The 18,192-nt window shown below is 42.8% G+C and overlaps 1 protein-coding gene across 1 annotated transcript; it reads right to left on the reverse strand.

Annotated features, from left to right (window-relative positions):
• APOH (apolipoprotein H) lies at positions 810–18,192 on the reverse strand. Its single transcript, NM_000042.3, has 8 exons — positions 18,093–18,192; positions 16,797–16,973; positions 14,805–14,901; positions 12,475–12,551; positions 9,331–9,519; positions 5,565–5,744; positions 3,230–3,427; positions 810–965 (listed from the first exon to the last, which is right to left on the reverse strand). Exons 1-8 carry the CDS (start codon positions 18,154–18,156, stop codon positions 910–912), a joined length of 1,038 nt encoding a protein of 345 aa, NP_000033.2. The 5' UTR covers positions 18,157–18,192; the 3' UTR covers positions 810–909.

Consider the following 18,192-nt stretch of genomic DNA (forward strand, 5'->3'; position numbering starts at 1 on the left):
GATGGGTCATGGAATTGTAGTGGATACAGAAAAAATTTTTTGGCACTATGTAAACCCAGCATCAAGGATGCAAATTCAGTCCTATTGACCTGGAAGTCCATGCTTACTTCTGTATGGCAATGCTTCTCAAACTTGAGGATGCGCAAGAACTATCTGGAAACTTTGTCATAAATGCAGAACTCTGGGCCATTCTTAACAATTCTGGGGCACAACACTTGTTCTTTGAAATAAGCAGATAGGTAATAGTAACGGAAGGAGGGGGTCTGTGGCCCATTCTATGAAAAATATTGTATTGCAGGTGTTTTACGTGAAAGTGCTTGAAAGTAGGATTTGTTTGTTTGTTTGTTTGTTTGTTTATTTATTTATTTATTGAGATGCAGTCTCACTCTATCGCCCAGGCTGGAATGCAGTGGCACCATCTCAGCTCACTGCAACCTCCACCTCCCAGATTCAAGCAATTTTCTTACCTCAGTCTCCCGAGTAGCTGGGATTACAGGCCCACATCACCATGCCCAGCTAATTTTTGTATTTTTAGTACAGACAGGGTTTCACCATGTTGCCCAGGCTGCTCTCGAACTCCTGACCTCAGGTGATCCACCTGCTTCTGCCTCCCAAAGTGCTGGGATTACAGGCGTGAGCCACCGCACCCAGCCGAGATCAGGGTTACGCACAGGAAAAGTGGGACACCCAGACAATTGTTTATACTGCCAACTTCACAGCCATAGAATGATGACGTTCCAAATATTTGCATTTCTTAACCAAATGACATAACTAAAAGTAAGCTACCATGAAGCTAACACTGCAATGGGTGCGGCAATAAATTCAGTAGCTTTATTTTTAAATTTCAATTAGGTTCCTTGGATGAACAAGAAACAAGTGTGACATTTTGTGTGGAATCTGAAAACCACCTTAGCATGGCTTTACATCGGATGCATCAGTTTTCCAAAAAGCCAGAGAACTGTGTTCTGTTGGGGGAGAAAAAGATAAACATTCTAAGAGAAACAATCATTTCTTAAATGTGGTAAATAGCTAAGCCAAACCAAATACATTTTACGAGTATATAGAATACATGTGATTATGTGAATGAAACCATTTAGTGTGAGGTTTAAGTGATGGGAGAAAACATTAGGGAAATGATAAGACCCTCATTTTCTTTTTCTTTTTCTTTTTCCTTTTTTTAAGACAGAGTCTCGCCCTGTTGCCCAGGTTGGAGTGCAGTGGCACAATCTCAGCTCACTGCAACCTCTACCTCCCAGGTTCAAGTGATTCTCCTGTCTCAGCCTCCCGAGTAGCTGGGACTACAGGCACGTGCCACCATGCCTGGCTAATCTTTGTATTTTTAGTAGAGACTGGGTTTCACCATGTTGGCCAGGCTGGCCTCCTGACCTCAAGTGATCCGCCCGCCTTGGCCTCCCAAAGTGCTGGGATTACAAGTGTGAGCCACTGCGCCTGGCCAAGATCCTCATTTTCAAGAGATAAAATTAAAGGTTCTATATACAGTGAAGACTGTTCTATAACAGTCAAGATTAAAGGGGAAAAAACAGTATCGGCCCTTTACAGTACTGCATCTGTCCAAAGACCATAAGGGAGAAGATCCTGAAGAAATATATCAACAAAGCTAAGACTTTTTTCAATTATTCTTTTCTCACATTTTTTCTACTGATTTTTATTTAAGCTTATTGTATTTTGTCATGTTTTGTATTTAACATCTCACCAGGGCTCTGCTGTCTTTTGAATAATGGCAATTTATTCAGTGCATTTGTAACTATTTACAATTAAAATTATATTCCTCCATGTCATGCATATTTCTAATAATCAAACCAACCCCATGAGGTGGGTATTTTTAATCAGTTATCATTCCCTTCTCTCCCACTAGCTGGACACTTCTCAGACTCCTCTCTTCTTAGCTTTGTCTGCTCCCTACTGTCCTCTCCCACCTGCTAAAACAAGATTGTCAATGTTTTTGAAAGATTTCTAAACCTAGAGCCAAGGACAGCTTCAGCCTCTGGCTGGTTCTTACTTTCTGGCATCAGAGACATTTCAACCCTAAATCTGAAACCTTAAAAGGTTAGCAGCTCTAAACGCTGGCCATTACACACTTCTTTATCTCACACAAACCTGGTATCATTCTCCTTAAAATATTTTGCTCTAATGGATACTTTGCTCTAATGGATACTTTTCAAACTCTACGAATTGCTTGAGAAAGGGGAAATGTTAGATCTTTAGACCAATTATCATTGCCATGAGTTGTTTTGTCACTTGGGGTGAGTTCTCTATAATGTGGGACCAAGATGAGGTAGATATTTTATTATTCAATATTTGGTTCATTATTATTCAAGCTCAACTTGGAATTATACAAGATGGCATCATTCACCTCAGCATTCATTGAATATAACCACAACCCTGAGTTTTACAGAAAAGACTTAGAAAAGAGGCTGGGCGCGTAGCTCATGCCTGTAATCCTGGCACTTTGGGAGACTGAGACAGGTGGATTGCTTGAGTCCAAGGGTTCAAAACCAGCCTTGGCAACATGGCATAATCTCTTCTCTAATAAAAATATAAAAAATAGCTGGACATGGTGGTGCGTGCATGTAATCTCAGCTACTCAGAAGGCTGAGGTGAAAGGGTCACTTGAGCCCAGAAAGTAGAGGCTGCAATGAGATGTGATCGCAACACTGCACTTCAGCCTGGGTGACAGTGAGACCTTGTCTCAAAAAAAAAAAAAATTGGAAAGGAAAATGCAAGTGGGGACGCCATCTGCAGCTCACTGCTTCATATCATTGTTTCTCCCTCTCACCCCTCTTTTTAAAAACCCAGTGGCCAAATTCATCTGTGTTTTGTTTGTTTTTGTTTTGAGACGGAGTTTCGCTCTGTTGCCCAGGCTGGAGTGCAATGGCGCGATCTCGGCTCACTGCAACCTCCACCTCCCAGGTTCAAGTGATGCTCCTGCCTCAGCCTCCCAAGTAGCTGCGATTACAGGCACCCGGCACCACAGCAATTAATTTTTGTATTTTTAGTAGAGACAGACTTTCACCTTTTTGGCCAGGCTGCTCTCAAACTCGTGACCTCAGGTGATCCACCCGCCTCAGCCTCCCAAAGTGCTGGGATTACAGGCGTGACCCACCGCACCTGGCCTCATCTGGTTTTTGACAATCATTATAGAACAAAGGCTCTGATTATGATGACGGGCAAGTGGGAGTCCTAGCTAAACGTTCCAATGCAGACTTACCCTTGAAGCATTTGGGGACTTCGATAGTGCCATCTATACACTGAGCATCCTCTGTATAGCTACACTTCTTTTCCTTATTTTTGCAGAAGAAAGAAACTTTATCACCATGTAGCATTCCATTCTTAAATTTTTCCTGAATCTTTACTCTCTCTCCTTGGTACACCACAGTGGCTTTTTTCACAGGTACTTTACAAGATGCTGAAAGAGAGAATACTTGTAATCAGGACTTAAGAGTTCAGGAAGTCTTTCTGAAAGAGAGTATAGCATTTGAAACAGTAGATGAGTACACCTACACAAATTGGTCAAGGCAAGAAAAATCCAAGAATATATATAGTAAGTAATGGTAATATGATTGCTAATTGCAGTTCTCTGTCAATAGAACCATTATTCATAGCTTCCAAGATGGCCTTCTCTTCCCCTACAGTAGCCACAGAAGGTCAGAACAGAAGCATCAGAGCCTCCATTTCAGTGAAAAAAAAAAAAAAAAGCAACTAACAGATATTGACATTTCATGTAAGCCTACTCTGCCCTCTCAGATTGCATTCATTAAGCAGGTGCATCTATCCACCAGCCATTGTGAGTGTTGGCTGATAACAGCTCATAAATACTCTGAAAAATTGCCTTCAGCCATAGGGAAGCCACCTCTCCCAGGAGTTTATGCAAACCACCCCCAGGGTCAGGGAAGGGAGCAGCTCAAAGCCAAAGACTGACTGATGAGGGAATATAAAAAGCAGGTCCCCTTGGCTCTTAGTGGGATTAACTCAAGGGTGGAATTCACACTCCAGAGCTCCCAGTGGGATCAAACTGAACCTCATTTTAGCAGAGACCACATTTCTCCCTGGCTCGGCAGCATTAGCATCACCAGGGAACCTGGCATAAATGCAAATTGTCAGGCCCCATCCCAGATCTACCAAATCAGAAACTCTAAGAGTGGAGCTCAAAAATCCTGTGTTAAAACAAGCCTTCCAGGTGTTGCTGATCCACAGCGAAGTTTGAGAACCGGTGCCTTACCCTCGCAAATCTGCCTCACTCTTTCTTCTCCTGAGACATTCACTAAATCAACTGTACTCGAATCCCCGTCTCAGGCTCTGCTTCTAGGGAACTGTAACCTAAGATGCTAGTTATTTGTCATCTTGCCTGCTGCCCCAGAGTTCCTCTTTCTGCTTAAACTGTCCAGCCCATAGTGACCTGAGCAGAGTTCTAATGCTAGGCTGTTGTTGTTCTTTACTTATGCATGACACTGATGGGATCAAGGGTAGACACCTAACTCAAAAGGAACCAGTGTCTCCAGGAAAGATGCCAGTTGGTGATGAATCCTGTAACTGAGAGGGTCTGGTGTATATCAAGCCATGTTCAAGATGAATAAGCAGAGAGACGGAAATGGGAGAGACCATTGAGATACGGAAAAAGTAGGAATAGTTCCTGCCTTTCAGTTCCAATCTTCAGGAGTATCAGTTGTATTTCATGTCTTCATCTTCAATGCCCACATGATCGACTTGCCTGTTGCCTCCTTATAATATCCCCAATTTCCTTGAACTCACTCGAATGTGTGGTTGGTTTTTGCAATGAGAAGAGCCTTGGCTAGACAGAGCACAAAAAGGGGTGGGCATGGTGGCTCACATCTGTAATCACTCGAACCTGGGAGGTGAAGGTTGCAGGGAACTGAGATTCTACCATTACACTCCAGCTAGGCAACAGAGTGAGACTCCATCTCAAAAAAAAAAAAAAAGACTCCATGTGTCTACAATAATACTAAAAAATGATGGATGGAAGAAAAGCTCTTCTCTACAGAGGCCGAGGCGGGCGGATCACCTGAGGTCAGGAGTTCGAAATTAGCCTGGCCAACGTGGCAAAGCCCCATCTCTATTAAAAATACAAAAATTAGCCAGGTGTGGTGGTGGGGTGCCTGTAATCCCAGCTACTCGGGAGGCTGAGGTAGGAGAATTGCTTGAACCCGGGAGGCAGAGGTGGCAGTGAGCCGAGATCACGCCATTGCACTCCAGCCTGGGCGACAGAGCAAGACTCCATCTCAAAAAAAAAAAAAAAGAGTGCTCAGAGGCAAAGACTTAAAAGCAAATAAAGAAAGCCCACATGATCTCCCACCATATCACCAATGCTTACAAAGGATCTGTTTATTTCATACTGTTTAAGGTCAAGGATACTTCCTAAGCATGAGGCTTCCCCATGCACCTGTGAGTCCTGAAGTCACATGCCAGCAGTTTCCTAGCAAGTCTGAGCAACAAGTGGAAAAGTGTTGGAACAAGAAAATAGCAAGTAAAGGTGATCCACTGTATCAATTCAGAGATCTTACAGGACCTCGCCTATATTTCCATACCTTTACAACTTGGCATGGCAGACCAGTTTCCCAGTTTGGTACATTCTATTTCTTCCGGGCCATCCAGAGAATATCCATCATGGCAGCCAAATGTGGCTTTATCCTTGTAATAAAGTGTTGGTTTTGCAGGATAGTTCACAAATCCATTGTCTGGTCTTGATGGGAATGGGCATTTTACTTCTAAAACATTTATTCAATAAGACATATTAGTAATAAATAGTGCTATCCAATAGTCATGAAATAGTTACATCCTTGTCTCTGTCACACCACTGAATCACTGTGTGTTCCTGTAACTGGAATGCAATTTATAGTTACCTTGTGCTTAATTCTGTCCCCACTCCTCTTATATCTGTGGTACCCTGGATATTAAAAAAGAAACAACCACACTTTGAAAGTAAATTAATGAGACTTCACTAAGTTCTCTGGGTTTTCACATATAATCATAAGGTATTATTTATTGCAAACTTCATCTCTACACAGTCTAAGATGGTGGGTTTGAAAGAAGAAAAGCAAAGTCTATTTCTAACAAACCATAAAATTAAAATGCAAAGACTGAACCCCCCCCCCCATTCACACTTAGTACACCATTATTTGGCTTTAAAATAGTAAATCTTACTGTTATTCAATTCAGACTATGGAAGAAGCCAGCAGGAAATACGTCAAAGAAAAATGGTGCTGCTTCCTGGCCTCCTTAAGATCCTCAACAGTAGAGGCCCAAACCCACGTCCTTATGAGCTGCAGTGCGAGAAAGCAAGGCTGGAGCCAGGAGCACAATATTCTCAGAGGTAGTTTAAGGAGGTAATTAAGGGTACAAACTCCAGAGTCAGACTGCTTGGCTCAATTTTGGTTCTACCACACATTAAATAAAACAGAATTCATGTGGCCAGGCACAGTGGCTCACTTCGGTCATCCTGGCACTTTGGGAGGCTGAGGTGGATGCTGAGGAGGTCAGAAGTTCAAGACCAGCCTGGCCAACATGACAAAACCCCATCTCTACTAACAAAAATTAGCCGGGTGTGGTGGCATGCACCTGTAATCCCAGCCACTCAGGAGGCTAAGGCAGGAGAATCACTCAAACCCAGGAGGTGAAGCTTGCAGTGAGCTGAGATTGCACCATTATGCTCCAGCCTGGGCAACAGAGTGAGACTCCAACTCAAAAAAAAAATAAGAATCCATGTGTCTATAATAATACTAAAAAATGGTGGATGGAGGGAAAGCTCTTCTCTATAGAGGGAAGCCAGTGAATAAATGTAGAAGGAAAAGATAGAATTAGAAAGTCACCATTTTTCAGCCTCCAATGTCATAATTGACAGATTCAAGGATCATCATTGGATTCTACCATGACTGCCCAACAGTGGATATTCACATGGTTTCAAAGTATCACCCACAGGTTGCTTACTATTCCAAAGAAAAAGCAGTGCCTTTACCAAAAGGTGATCTAGCACCCCTCAACTGACTAAGTATCAAACTAAGCATGGCCAGTGATGGAACAGCTGACACTATGTGCTTCCTGATATGACAGAATGTATTTTTTTTTTTTGACACAGAGTCTCACTCTGTTGCCCAGGCTGGAGTGCAGTGGTGCAATCTTGGCTCACTGCAACCTCCCCCTCCTGGTTCAAGCGATTCTCCTGCCTCAACCTCCTGAGCAGCTGAGACTACAGGCGCACGCCACCACACCCAGCTAATTTTTGTATTTTTAGTAGAGACGGGGTTTCACCATATTGGCCAGGCTGGTCTTGAACTCCTGACCCCATGATCCACCTGCCTCGGCCTCCCAAAGTGCAGAATGTATTCTTAACAGTAATATTTAACATGAATCTAATCATGAGTAAATAACCAATCAAGTTCAGATTATGGAACATTCTACAAGACAACTAGCCTGTACTCTTCAAAAATGTCAATGAAAGACAACAAAAGAGGCAAGGACTTATTCTTAATTATAGGAGACTAGGCTCACGCCTGTAATCCCAGCAGTTTGGGAGGCTGAGGCAGGCGGATCATTTTAGTTCGGGAGTTTGAGACCAGCCTGGCCAACACAGTGAAATCCCATCTCTACTAAAATTATAAAAATTAGCTGGGCGTGGTGGCAGGTGCCTATATTCCCAGCTACTTGGGAGGCTGAGGCAGGAGAATTGCTCAAACCTGGGAGGTAGATGTTGCAGTGAGCCAAAATTGCACCACTGCACTCCAGCCTGGGTGACAGAGTGAGACACCATTTCAAAATAATAATAATAATTATTATTATAGGAGACTAGAGAGACATGACAACTAAATTAAAGGTGTGATTCTTGATTAGATCCTGCATAAAACAAAACTCATGTATAAGAGATACTTCTGGGTCAATTGGGAAAATTTGCATCTGAGATAAATGTTGCATGATATCGTTGTTGTTATGTTATTAGAATGGTTTGGATTATTATTGTTAATAATCCAAAACATATGAAGTGATGATATAAAATGTCCTTGTTCTTAGTATATTCAGGCTGAAGGCTTTATGGGCAAGTATCGTAATATATACAACTTATTTTCAGATGATGCAGGAAATAAAAGGGATCTTTCTATGGAGAAACAGAGAGAAAAATGTTACAACATATTAACAGTTGATACGTCTAGGTGAAATTGAAAAAAAAAGGAACCTACTTTTTAGGACTTGGGAGAATGAGGTCAGATGACACATATGTAGCAGGAGACCAGTGCCTGGCCCATAGTTGAGTGCCCAGAAAGGTACAAGTTACTACTGTTATTGGTAGCTCCTCCATGCTGAAAATCACTTATGTTTTGAATCGTTCACTGGATATCTGTAATATCTACCACTGGAGAAGTTAATAGTCACGAGAATAACTCTTGGCCAGGAGCAGTGGCTTACACCTGTAAGCCCAGCACTTTGAGAGACTGAGGCAGGCAGATTACTTGAGGTCAGGCATTTCAGACCAGCCAGATGATCATGGTGAAACTCCGTCTCTACTAAAAATACAAAAATTAGCCAAGTATGGTGACGGGCACCTGTAATCCCGGCTACTTGGGAGGCCAAGGCATGAGAATCGCTTGAACCCAGGTGGCAGTAAGCCAAAATCACCCCACTGCACTCCAGCCTGAGTGACAGAGTGAGACTATCTCAAAAAAAAGAAAAAAACAAACTATTTGTGCACATGATAAACTTTATAATTTGTCTGTTTGTTATGCAGCTGACAAACTTGAAGATAGTAATGACAGGTCAAGTTAGAGACGAAATAATTTTCATAATTTCTTAAAAATCAAATATTTCTGTGATTCTTAAACTTGGGTAAAGATTTTTAAAATGTGTAACAATCAGACAGCAACCCAGTCTTAACCTTCATCTCCTAGGACTCTCCAATTTAACCCAGGAACTTCACCCAGAAGAGAACTTCACCAGCCTCGCTGAAATGTCCAGCTGTCCATGGATACATCCTGCCTTTCATGTCTCCCCCATGTGTGGTATGCCTTCTCCTCATTCTCTACTGCTCCTCCAAGACCCATTTCAAAGGTCACCACCTATGGGAAGCTGTCCCAGGCAGCTCCAGACAGTTAATTGCATTATTTATAATTCCCTTGGGTCAGAAGCCAGGTCTCATTCATCGGGAATCCACAGTGCCCAGCACACTGCCTGGCACATGGTAGATGCTCAATAAACAGCTGTTGAATGAGTTCATTGGAAACACTCCATGATAGTCAGAATTTTCAATACCTTTCACAAATGGGATCTTGCCCTACCATGCGTATTTTGTCTGATCATTGCACTTACCCCTGCATTCTGGTAATTTAGTCCAATTTCCATGTGTCGTGCAGGTAATTGTATCATTTCCAAACATCGCATGTTGTGGCAAACATTCAAAAACTGCTGTGTCCCGATAGAGGGAATTGTTTCCAGCTGATGGCTTATAAACACGAAGTGTTGCAAACGTAGGTATGGATGGTGGAGGGCAGATGATGGCTGGGAAAATAAAGAACTATCATTTCTATGAAAATAGTTAAGGCTTTTAAATATACTCTTTCCAGAAAGAAAAAAAAAACCCTAAGGATAAACTTGAGAAAATGCAAACTGATCAAATTAGCAGGGTAAAAATTGTCAATTGTGGATGCCTAATAGGAAAATATGACCTGCCGGGCACGGTGGCTCACGCCTGTAATCCCAACACTTTGGGAGGCTGAGGTGGGCAGATCACTAGAAGTCAGGAATTTCAGACCAGCCTGGTCAACATGGTGAAACCCCGTCTCTACCAAAAATACAAAAATGAGCCAGGCATGGAGGTGTGTGTCTGTGGTCCCAGCTACTCCAGAGGCTGAGGCAGGAGAATCGCTTGAACCTGGGAGGCGGAGGTTGCAGTGAGCCAAAATCGCACCACTGCACTCCAGCCTGGGCAACAGAGTGAGTCTGTCTCAGAAAAGAGAAAGAAAGAAGGAAGGAAATAAATAAATAAATAAATAAAGACAGAAAGAAAGAGAGAGAGAGAAAGAAAGGAAGGAAGGAAGGAAGGAAGGAAGTCAGAAGGGAGGGAGGGAGGGAAGAAAGGAAGGAAAGAAAGAAAGAAAGGAAAGAAAGAAAGAGGAGGGGAGGGGAGGGGAGGGAGGGAGGAAGGAAGGAAGGAAGGAAGGAAGGAAGGAAGGAAGGAAGGAAGGAAGCCCTCAAGTCAGATGTCCAAACCAGTCAAAACACCAAAAAAATGAAGGAAATTTAAGTCTTGCCACTGCCTTTTGCAACAACACAATGGTTAGGTTTTATAAAATCTTTTATTCATATACTACCTTGGAAGATGCTTCTGGAAGGCAGAATTTGTCCCTCAGTGCTGAGGGACCATCCTGAAATAATGGCTGGTGACAGCAACTTGGTACATAGTAGTTTGGGAATGAGTTCCATTACCAGTTCAGTCTGTTTCTGCTGAATACCTCCCTGCTTTTGGATTCTTGGTATGGATGGAGCTTACCCAAGTAGCTTCAGGAACCCAGAGAGATAGTAGTGGCTTGTCACCCTGACCTGAGTACTATGGAGCTTCAACAAGTTATACTAGCATAAAAGAAGATAGTGCTGACCAAAATGCGATTTACCTTGACTTCCCTAGATCCCTGCTGCTCAAAATGTGGTCCAGGGGCTAGCAGCACGGGCATAGCCTGGGAAAATAGCTTGTTGGAAATGCAGAAGCTCAGACCCCACTGCAGGTGCCTGAATCAGAATCTACATTTTAACAAGGTGCCCAGGAGACTCATATGTGCATTCAAGTATGAGAAATACTCATTTAAATTAGATTAAAGCTCAAGCAGTCTTTCTATTTACAACCCTTTTGGAAAGTGAGTTTATGGCTAGGCACCGTGGTTCACGCCTGTAATCCCAGAGCCCTGAGAGGCTGAGGCAGGTAAGGTTGCTTGAAACCAAGAGTTCAAGACCAGTCTGGGCAACAGAGCAAGACCCTGTCTCCACCAAAATTTTTAAAAACTAGCCAGATCTGGTGGCGCTCATCTATAGTCTCAGCTGCTCAGGAGACTGAGAGGATCACTTGGCCCCAGGAGATCGAAGTTACAGTGAGCTGTGATCACGCCACTGCACTCCGGCCTGGGCAACAGAGCAAGACCCTACCTCTAAATAAAGAAGCAAATTTACATAATCGGTATAAATCTGTTTTAAGTGAAAACTGTAGGAACCATCGTGATTCCTACTGCTGAGTGAAAATTTTACTTAATTTGTCCTTTAAAAACTTTCGTTTTTGCTTGTTCAGGTCTTCTTAAACAATTATTTATTTGAAATTGCTTTACTTTCCACTTGCTTTTTTTTTTTTTTTTTTTTTGAGATGGAGTTTCACTCTTGTTGCCCAGGCTGGAGTGCAATGGTGCGATCTCAGCTCACTGCAACCTCCGCCTCCCGGGTTCAAGTGATTCTCTTGCCTCAGCCTCCCAATTGGCTGGGATTAGAGGCATGCGCCACCATGCCCAGCTGATTTTATATTTTTAGTAGAGACGGAGTTTCTCCATGTTGGTCAGGCTGGTCTCGAACTCCTGACCTCAGGTGAGCCACCCTCCTCGGACTCCCAAAGTGCTGGCATTACAGGCGTGAACCACTGCACCTGCCCTCCTCTTGCTTTTGCTAAAGACAGACTTCACTGACATGTTGAAGAACTATAATTAGTATTGAAATGCCTGGGCCTCCTGGTCAAAGATGTATAAATCACAAGTTGGGGAACATAAGAACGTCCTTCCCTACATAAGCAAAGCCCAGAGATGACTCTGACAGCTTGGCTGAGGATCCTCTGAAAAAACAACAGTGCTTTTTGGAGGAATGCCAATCAGCTCCTAGGATGCAAGCCCCTTTGATGGGCTGTTGGCTTACTGTGAGGGTGACTTTCCTCCTCGTCTGTCCCGTAAGTCACTAGGCTTACTCTCTGAAGGCAAAGCTGCCTCCTTTGGCCTTGCAGCCTCAGTGCTAACAAGAGGATCCAGCATACAGTAGATCCTCAATTCATGTTTATTGAATAAGTTAATAAATGAATGAATGAATTCCAGAGTGGGAGGAAGATGTTTGTTTGATCTCACTGTTTGCAGAAGTTCCTCTAGTTAAGTGGTGACAGTCCCTGATATACCAATGCCACACATATCCAAGCCACTTCCAAAGCACTATGAGAGCATTGGAGTCAACACACCCAGAAATGACTGGCTTAGATAGAGTAATGACCGCGAGGTGGAGAATACAGAATGTGTCCGTGAGTAAAATGCTTCCCTTCTGTCATTCCAAAGTGGTTGTTTCATCTTCTAGAGCAAGATACCAGGATGAATATCCCCCACAAGGGTGACCATTCATCTCATTGAGCTGTGACTGAAGAGATTCCAGATGTGAGACTTTGAGTGCTAAAACCAGAAAGGTTCTGGGCAAACCAGCTGATCACCTTGCCCACAGACTTACGAGCACAGACAGGAAGCTCCGGGCTCCATTTTCCTTCCTCAGTGCACTTGGCAGAATCAGCGCCATTCAGATAAAACCTGCAAAAGGAAAATTCATTCTATCAAGGAGTAAAATAATCCATCACTGACATCTCAAATATCTTCTCCATTGAGCATTGCTTCATGTTAATGCTATTGACTTCTTTTCCATCGTATAATGCTGTCTTCCTGACAAACTTAGTACTCATCTATGGCTCATGGAGCCTCCCAACCAATGATGCAGGTGAATCACTGCAGGGTTCCACAGCTGGTGAGTGGAGAATCCAAACCCTTAAATCCCTCATCTTTAAAGAGTTGGCCAAGATGACTGTTTCTAATATAAAGCAAAGAACCATCTCTTTTTCAGGATGACAAAAGTGAACCAAACTGAGTAATCTTCATTATTCATTTTCTTACAGCCTACTGACACCAATGAATAAAAGCAATGCAGTCTATTTCCAATGAAAATATAGCATTCTGACTGGGTACTTTGGCTCATGCCTGTAATCCCAGCACTTTGGGAGGCCGAGATGGGCGGATCACTTGAGCCCAAGAGTTTGAGCCTGGGCAATGTGGCAAAGGCCCAATTTCTACAAAAAGTCACCAGGCCGTGGTAGTGTGTGCCTATAGTCCAAGCTACTCGAGAGGTAGAGGTGGAAGGAAGGATTCAAAAGGATTTAACCTGGGAGGTCGAGGCTGCAGTGAGCCATGATTGTGCCACTGCACTCTAGACTGAGCAACAGAGGAAGATCCTGTAAAAAAAAAAAAAAAAAAAAAGAAAAGAAAAGAAGGAAAGGAAGGAAAAAGTAAGGAAGGAGAGAGACAGACAAAGAAAGAAAGAAAAGAAAAGAAAGACGGAAGGAAGGGAGGGAGGGAAAGAGAAAGAAAGAAAGAAAAAGAAAGAAAGAAAGAAGAAAGGAAGAGAAGGGAAGGGAAGGGAAGGGAAGGGAAGGGAAGGGAAGGGAAGGGAAGGGAAGGGAAAGGAAAGGAAAGGAAAGGAAAGGAAAGGAAAGGAAAGGAAAGGAAAGGAAAGGAAAGGAAAGGAAAGGAAAGGAAAGGAAAGGAAAGGAGCAGGATGCCATGGTGGCTCACACCTGTAATCCCAGCACTTTGGGAGGCCAAGGAGGGTGGATCACAAGGTCAGGAGTCCAAGACCAGCCTGGCCAAGATGGTGAAACCCCATCTCTACTAAAAATACAAAAATTATCTGGGTGTGGTGGTAGGCGCCTGTAATCCCAGCTACTTGGGAAGCTGAGGCAGGAGAATTGCTTGAACCCAGGAGGTGGAGGTTGCAGTGAGCCAAGATCGCACCACTGCACTCTAGCCTGGGTGACAGAGCAAAAAGAAAGGAAAAAAAAAAAAAGAAAGAAAAATGTAACATTATGTCTTCGAAGCCAATTTTCTTAAGGTCATTTGTTACCAGACCCATTGGTAGATTGGTGTTTCAGATGAAAGGTGTGTATTTCTCTCTCACATGTAGTATTCCTTAACCTCCAATCCCAGTAGAAACTTACCCTAGTGGATAGCCAATGTGCTCTCAATAATGTCACAGGGGTGCCTTTGCTCCTTATGAGTCTATGCCCACCGTTAAGTGACTGCCTCCCTTTGCTCCCAGATGAGCCTGTGCCCACCACAAGTGATTGCTTCCTGGGGATGTGGAACTGCATTGCATTCTCCACTGTCACACTCCCAACCTTCTCCATAGAATTCTCTTCTAGAGACTACCAGGTTGGTCAATCAAATTAGCCTAATAACTAAAGCCCAAGTCTTATTCCTAAAGTATTTTAACCCTATCCAAGATTTGGCCCAGAGATCATATGGAATTATCATCCAGGTTCAATCATTTTAATGTACCTCCTCTGAGATAATTAATCAGGAGCAGAAAAATTAGATACAGTGGTGACTACGTATTGCACTAGTTGTTATATTCTCCAATCCTTACCCCACCCTCAATGCTACAAGACCATCCTGGCTAACACAGTGAAACCCCGTCTCTACTAAAAACACAAAAAATTAGCCGGGCGTGGTGGCGGGCGCCAGTAGTCCCAGCTACTCAGGAGGCTGAGGCAGGAGAATGGTGTGAACCCAGGAGGTGGAGCTTGCAGTGAGCCGAGACTGCACCACTGCGCTCCAGCCTGGGCGACAGAGCGAGACTCCGTCTCAAAAAAAAAAAAAAGCAGGACTAAAATCGATTTGCATTTGAAAGTCCAACCTAAAGGCTGAAAACAAAATATAGACCAGTCTTGATGTTTAGCTTAAGGATACAAAAATGTGCTCAGTCTGTTAACTGCTTAGTTCCATGAAAGTTCTTACCCAGTGTTACAAGAAAAACTGATCGTGTTGGGATATTCAAAAGTCGTATAGCGTACGGCTCCATTTTCTAAGATTCCAGCAAAAGGACATACTCTGGCTGTGATACAAAGATAAAAAATGTTACTTTTCTTTGGGCTAAAAAAAAACATAAACAGGTAAATTTCTATTTATAGAATTTTTCATTAAATGAAACATATAAATTCATTTTCATCCTTTGGTTCAATAACTTTACTGGTAACTATTCTAAGAAAGCAATTCAAAATAAGACAAGTGATATATGTACAAAAGCGTTCATTATACTGTTTCTCCTAATAACAGAATTTGGACAGGCGGGGAGCAGTGGCTCACGCCTGTAATCCCAGCACTTTGGGAGGCAGAGGAGGGTGGATCACTTGAGGTCAGGAATTTGAGACCAGCCTGAACATGGTGAAACCCCATCTCTACTAAAAATACAAAAATTAGCTGGGCATGATGGTGGGTGCCTGTAGTCCCAGCTACTCTGGATGCTGAGGCAGGAGAATAGCTTGAACCCAGGAGGCAGAGGGTGCCAAGATGGCACCACTGCACTGGGCAATAGAGTGAGACTCCGTCTCCAAAAAAAAAAAAAAAATTGGATAGTCTAAGGGTTCATCAGGGGACTGTTTTAATTAATCATGGTAAATCAAAAGTTGAACTATTATGTAGCCAATAAAATATGAATTGTGAAATATGTGGAGATACAATTTTTATGATATGCTGATGAAAACAGAAAAATACAAAATTATACCTGCTCTCTGCAGTAATGCAAAAAGATATGCATGGAAAATAAAAAAATGAAATTTTTAGTGTTCCAGAGTTATAGCTGATTTTTATTTTATTTATTTATTTATTTTTTTTTTTGAGACAGAGTCTCACTCTGCTGCCCAGGCTGGAGTGCAGTGGCACAATCTCAGCTCACTACAACCTCTGCCTCCCAGGTGATTCTCCTGCCTCAGCCTCCTGAGTAGCTGGGACTACAGGCGCATGCCAGCATGCCCGGCTAATTTTTTTTATTTTTAGTAGAGACGAGGTTTCACCATGCTGGCCAGGCTGGTCTTGAACTCCTGACCTCAGGCGATCCACCCACCTTAGGTTCCCAAAGCGCTGGGATTACAGGTGTGAGCCACCGCACCTGGCCCTGATTTAAAGAAAAATTTTCCCTAATGATGTTACATTGGCTTTTTACTAAAAATTATGTTTAGGCTCTTTAAGCAAAAAAGCATAGTAAAATCAACTTGCATGAACATGCATAACTTTGACAAAGGTCCTGTTCATATAACCAAAATCACCAGATCCATACATCTATTTTTACTGCTTAACTTCTACATATAATTAAATGTACCATAAATTCAATCTGGTTGATTGCATAATACTTGACTGTAAAGAATAATGCTAGCATGATATCATAGAACCATGTTCTAAGAAATAAATAAAAGCAACCATTTACAGTAAAGCCATAGTGAGATTGATATATTTTACGTTATATTATTATTTTAATTTGACCTCTTTTCTTGTATTTCATTATAATATAATATATACATAATGTAGATGAAATTTGTATTCATTTCAGTAACTATTAAGTCCGCTTTCATTTTCAGGTGAAGTCCAAAGATATGATGATTCCCCAAATTTTGTTTTTCCAAATGTCTCTTTGGCATCAGTTGACATTTCAAAGCCTCTCCACTGTTCTTTTAACTTCTGTAGTGTTTCTTTCTCCTTTTGCCACACCAGATCTCATTTTTAAACCTACCCTAGTTTCAGGCTATGATCTTCTCCTCTTCTATCAATAGCACCTATTACCCTTACTCTCTTTGCACAGAGAGAACTCCCCAAGACCTTCTCATTTCTCTCCAACCTGGCTTTCTGCAGCATCTACTGGCCCTCTGCACTCTGAGCATGACGAGGTAGCTTATTCCTCCAAAATACCCAGAATCCAAATGAGGGAAGAGAATGTGAGAGAAGGTACTGACTTACGTGTACATTTCAGAGTGTTGATGGGCCACAGTCCTGTGAGAGGGCAGATAAACTTTCTCATCCCTCCTCGGGACACATAGCCCGGCTTGCAGGAATACGTAATCTCTTCTCCTGGCTCATAGAATGTTTTTAACGGGACCACTGTGGAAAATGGTAAATCATCTGGCTTGGGACAGGCTGAAAGAGGGCACAAAGCAGATGGTTAACAAATCTCTATTTGCATTTTAAAGTTCAGCTAAGCCCACAAATGAAAAATGTGTGTACTGTTACCAATTATAAGCATACCAAGTTGCATGCCAAATACCTCATATACACTATCTCATCTAATCCCCTCAACAACCATTTGAAGGAGGTATTATAATTATCCCCATTTTACAGGTCAGTATGCTGAGGCTTAAATTGGCTACGTATCTTACAGAGGAGCTTTACACATGGCAATATTAAAGAATCAGTATCAATCCAGTCCCTCCAGCATCCACTCTAAAGAGAATTTAGTTATCAGCTGGGCGCAGTTGCTCACACCTGTAATCCCAGCACTTTGGGAGGCTGAGGCGGGTGGATCACGAGGTCAGGAGATAGAGACCAACCTGGCTAACACGGTGAAACCCCGTCTCTACTAAAAATACAAAAAATTAGCCGGGTGTGGTGGCGGGCGCCTGTGGTCCCAGCTACTCGGGAAGCTGAAGCAGGAGAATGGAGTGAACCCAGGAGGCGGAGCTTGCAGTGAGCCGAGATCGCACCACTGCACTTCAGCCTGGCGACAGAGCGAGACTCTGTCTCAAAAAAAAAAAAAAAGAATTTAATTATTCTTCTTCTTATTATTATTATTGTTGACTGAGTTTTGCTCTTGTTGCCCAGACTGGAGTGCAATGGGGGGACCTCGGCTCACTGCAACCTCTGCCTCCCAGGTTCAAGCAATTCTCCTGCCTCAGCCTCCCGAGTGGCTGGGATTACAGGCGCCTGCCATCACGCCCGGCTAATTTTTGTGTTTTTAGTAAAGACAGGGTTTCACTATGTTGCCCAGGCTGGGCTCGAATTCCTGACCTCAACTGATTCGCCCACCTCGGCCATGATGCCCAGCTAATTTTTGTATTTTTCATAAAGACGGGGTTTCACCATGTTGGCCAGACTGGTCTCGAACTCCTGACCTCAGGTGATCCACCTGCCTTGGCCTCCCAAAGTGCTGAGATTACAGATGTGAGCAAGCACGCCCGGCCTACTTATCATTATTGATCCCTGACATATACGAAGGGGTTGGATATATTAATTATTTTTTCAAAAGCAAAAAGTACTTACTCCGTCCTGCAATAGCAACATGGCAGAGAAAACTCGAGAACAAGATGAGCACTGGAGAAATCATTGTGGATGAGTCACACTGGCACTACCAAAGTGGTTT

Source organism: Homo sapiens, chromosome 17 (genome assembly GCF_000001405.40).
Source record: "Homo sapiens chromosome 17, GRCh38.p14 Primary Assembly".
Classification (NCBI taxonomy): Eukaryota; Metazoa; Chordata; class Mammalia; order Primates; family Hominidae; genus Homo; species Homo sapiens.

What these genes read in the sequence shown, in the direction of transcription:
- APOH (NM_000042.3), bottom strand. Translation starts at nt 18,156, where the DNA reads ATGATTTCTCCAGTGCTCATCTTGTTCTCGAGTTTTCTCTGCCATGTT. An exon ending in TGTTGCTATTGCAGGACGGA is followed by an intron (nt 16,974 to 18,092) that starts GTAAGTACTTTT and finishes GCCCTCTTTCAG; the next exon opens with CCTGTCCCAAGCCAGATGAT. An exon ending in TGCCATGCCAAGTTGTAAAG is followed by an intron (nt 3,428 to 5,564) that starts GTATGGAAATAT and finishes TCTCTCTTTCAG; the next exon opens with CATCTTGTAAAGTACCTGTG.